General features: G+C 39.1%; 1 annotated feature.

Moving 5' to 3' along the window:
- Positions 1,029–2,228: an enhancer, noted in NCBI's record as "P300/CBP strongly-dependent group 1 enhancer chr5:158728900-158730099 (GRCh37/hg19 assembly coordinates)". NCBI's record gives its function as "activates an origin of replication core promoter dependent on BRD2, BRD4, P300/CBP, MED14 and CDK7 cofactors, with strong dependence on P300/CBP, by STARR-seq in HCT116 cells {active_cell/tissue: HCT116}" and the evidence as "EXISTENCE:reporter gene assay evidence [ECO:0000049][PMID:35650434]".

Consider the following 2,662-nt stretch of genomic DNA (forward strand, 5'->3'; position numbering starts at 1 on the left):
GGGGAGTTTGGGCCTTAAGCATTATCTGACCAATTCTCCTTGCTTGGTATCCTACAATAAATCCTTTTCTTTCTCTCATTGAACATCTTTTTTTATAATTAATGAATAATTTATTTTGTTTTTGTTGCTGCTGTTTACCTACAGCTGTTTATCTCACAGCAAATCTTGATGTCAGCATTTGGCTTTGCTGTGCCAAGTGAGCAGACCCAAGTTCAGTTCAATAACAAATCCAAAAGCCTTTGTTCTCTGCTATTCTTTGAGTTATCTATTCCTTGAGGCAATGAATGACTGAATGGGGGTAGGGATGCAGAGGAAGACCAAGAGGTACAAAAAATATATAGAAAATTTTTAAAAAATATTTTACAATTATTTACCAACTACAAATAGCACTTTTTATTTATTAGTGATGAGGTTCAAGACACATCACCCCAATATATGAGTGTACTGGACTAGAATATATCACCCCAAAATATGCTCCTTTAGCATAAGGATTATGTTGATCTAATTATTTTAAGAAACAGCAGACCTAGGAGAAGCTCTGAAAACAAGAGTAGAAATTACACTTTTGTAAGGAAAATTTGCATTTACAAAGGAAATCTCCAATTTAAGGGTGTTTTCCTCTCTGCACCAGGAAGAGAAGGATGACTGTACATCATTATACATGCCTACCAATGGAGAAGACACTGACTTAAATCTGCATAACAAACCTAATGCTGTTTTATGGTGTTTTGCCTGGCCATCTTGGCAAAGCTGGACCTTCCCCACCCCGCTCCCTTTTTTTTGTTTCGGTAGATGGAATTCAAACCACCTCTTAGAGAATTACTCATTTTCCCTGTGTATCTCCCGTGGTATAAATGAGACATACATGTTTGTTTTTCTGTGGTTAATCTGTCTTTTGTTATAGGAATTTTAGTTGTATCAGCTAAAAATCATGAAAAGTAGAAAAAAAATTATTTTTTCTCTGCTACATTAGACATGCAATAAATATGTGTGTTTGAGGCTGGGTGTAGTGGCTCATGTCTGTAATTCCAGCACTTTGGGAGGTCAAGGCAGGCGGATCACTTGAGGTCAGGAGTTCGAGACCAGCGTGACCAACACGATGAAACCTTATCTCTACTAAAAATACAAAATTAGCTGGGCACAGTGGTGCATGCCTGTAATTCCAGCTACTTGGGAAGCTGAGTGTTATAAATAAACTTTTGGCGCCACAAAAGAAATAGCACTCAAACATAAATTTAATTTTCTCAGCAAGGCAATTTTACTTCTATAGAAAAGTGTGACTCGTGGATGGAGCAATGGTGAGAGCACACCTGAACAAGGGAGGGGAAGGGCTTTTTATTCCTGACACAGGTAGCCCCTACTGCTATGTCGTTCCCTTATTGGCTAGGGTTGGACCACACAGTCTAAGATAATTCTGATTGGCTATTTTAAAGAGAGAAGGAGAACAAGTCGGAGTGGCGGGGTGAGTAGTTTGGTGGGAAGGGCAGTTACAGAAAAGAGAACTCAGGATGATTCAGGTCAGAGCAGGTGACCAGGGATGACTCAGATGGAACAGATGACCAGGGGTGACTCAGGACAGAGCAGGTGACCAGGGGAACAGATGTGAACTGCTGATTAGAACTGGTGGAAAAAGTTGTTTACTGAAACTATGGGCGAGGAGAATGAGGAAGTTAAACTTTAAAATGGAGAACAAAGAACTGAACATACTGACATACTGATTCTTTGAAGAGAAATTTAGAACTCACTGTATTCAACATGAGGCAGGAGAATCACTTGAACCCTGGAGGTGGAGGTTGCAGTGAGCCGAGATCACGCCATTGCATTCCAGCCTGGGCAACAAGAGTGAAACTCGGTCTCAAACAAAACAAAACAAAACAAAACAAAACAAAACAAAACAAAACAAAACATGTTTGAATCTGCTTAACACAACATTTTTAGACGGACCTCTTTTGATGTTCCTAAATCAGGCTGTTAAGGACTATCTTCCATGGGAAAAGGTGACTTAAGAGTGGCAATCACTGATACAGTAAAGTTCTGCTTTGCTGCTTTGCAAAACTTTGCTTTATTCTCATTTTCTGGGGGGGATGTATCCTAAGCCTTAGGCAAGAATTACTTAAATTTAAAATTACACTTAGGTACATGAATATTCATAGCAGCATTAGCCATAATAGTAAAAAACTGGAAACAACCCAAATGTCCATCAATTGATAAACGGGTAAATAAAATGTGGCATATCAATGCAATCAAATATTGCTCAGGAACAAAAGGAATGAAGTACTGATACATGCTGCAACATGTATGAACCTTGAAAATATTATGCTAAGTAAAAGAAGAAAGTCACAAAGGACCACATATTATATAATTCAATTTATATAAAATGTCCAGAATAGACAAACCCACAGAGACAGAAAGTAGATTGTGGTTGCCTAGGAACATGCAGAGAAGGAGGGATACTGGGATTGGGATTTGTGTTAGTCTGTTTTGCATTACTATAAAAGAATACCTAAGGCTGAGTAGTTTGTAAAGAAGAGAGGTTTATTTAGCTCACAGTTCTGCGGCTGTTCAGGAAGCACGGTGTCAGCATCCGCTCTGCTTCTGGTGAGGCCTCAGGGAGCTTACAGTTATGGTGGAATGCAAAGAGGGAGCTGGCATATCATATGGC

Source organism: Homo sapiens, chromosome 5, assembly GCF_000001405.40.
Source record: "Homo sapiens chromosome 5, GRCh38.p14 Primary Assembly".
Taxonomy (NCBI): Eukaryota; Metazoa; Chordata; class Mammalia; order Primates; family Hominidae; genus Homo; species Homo sapiens.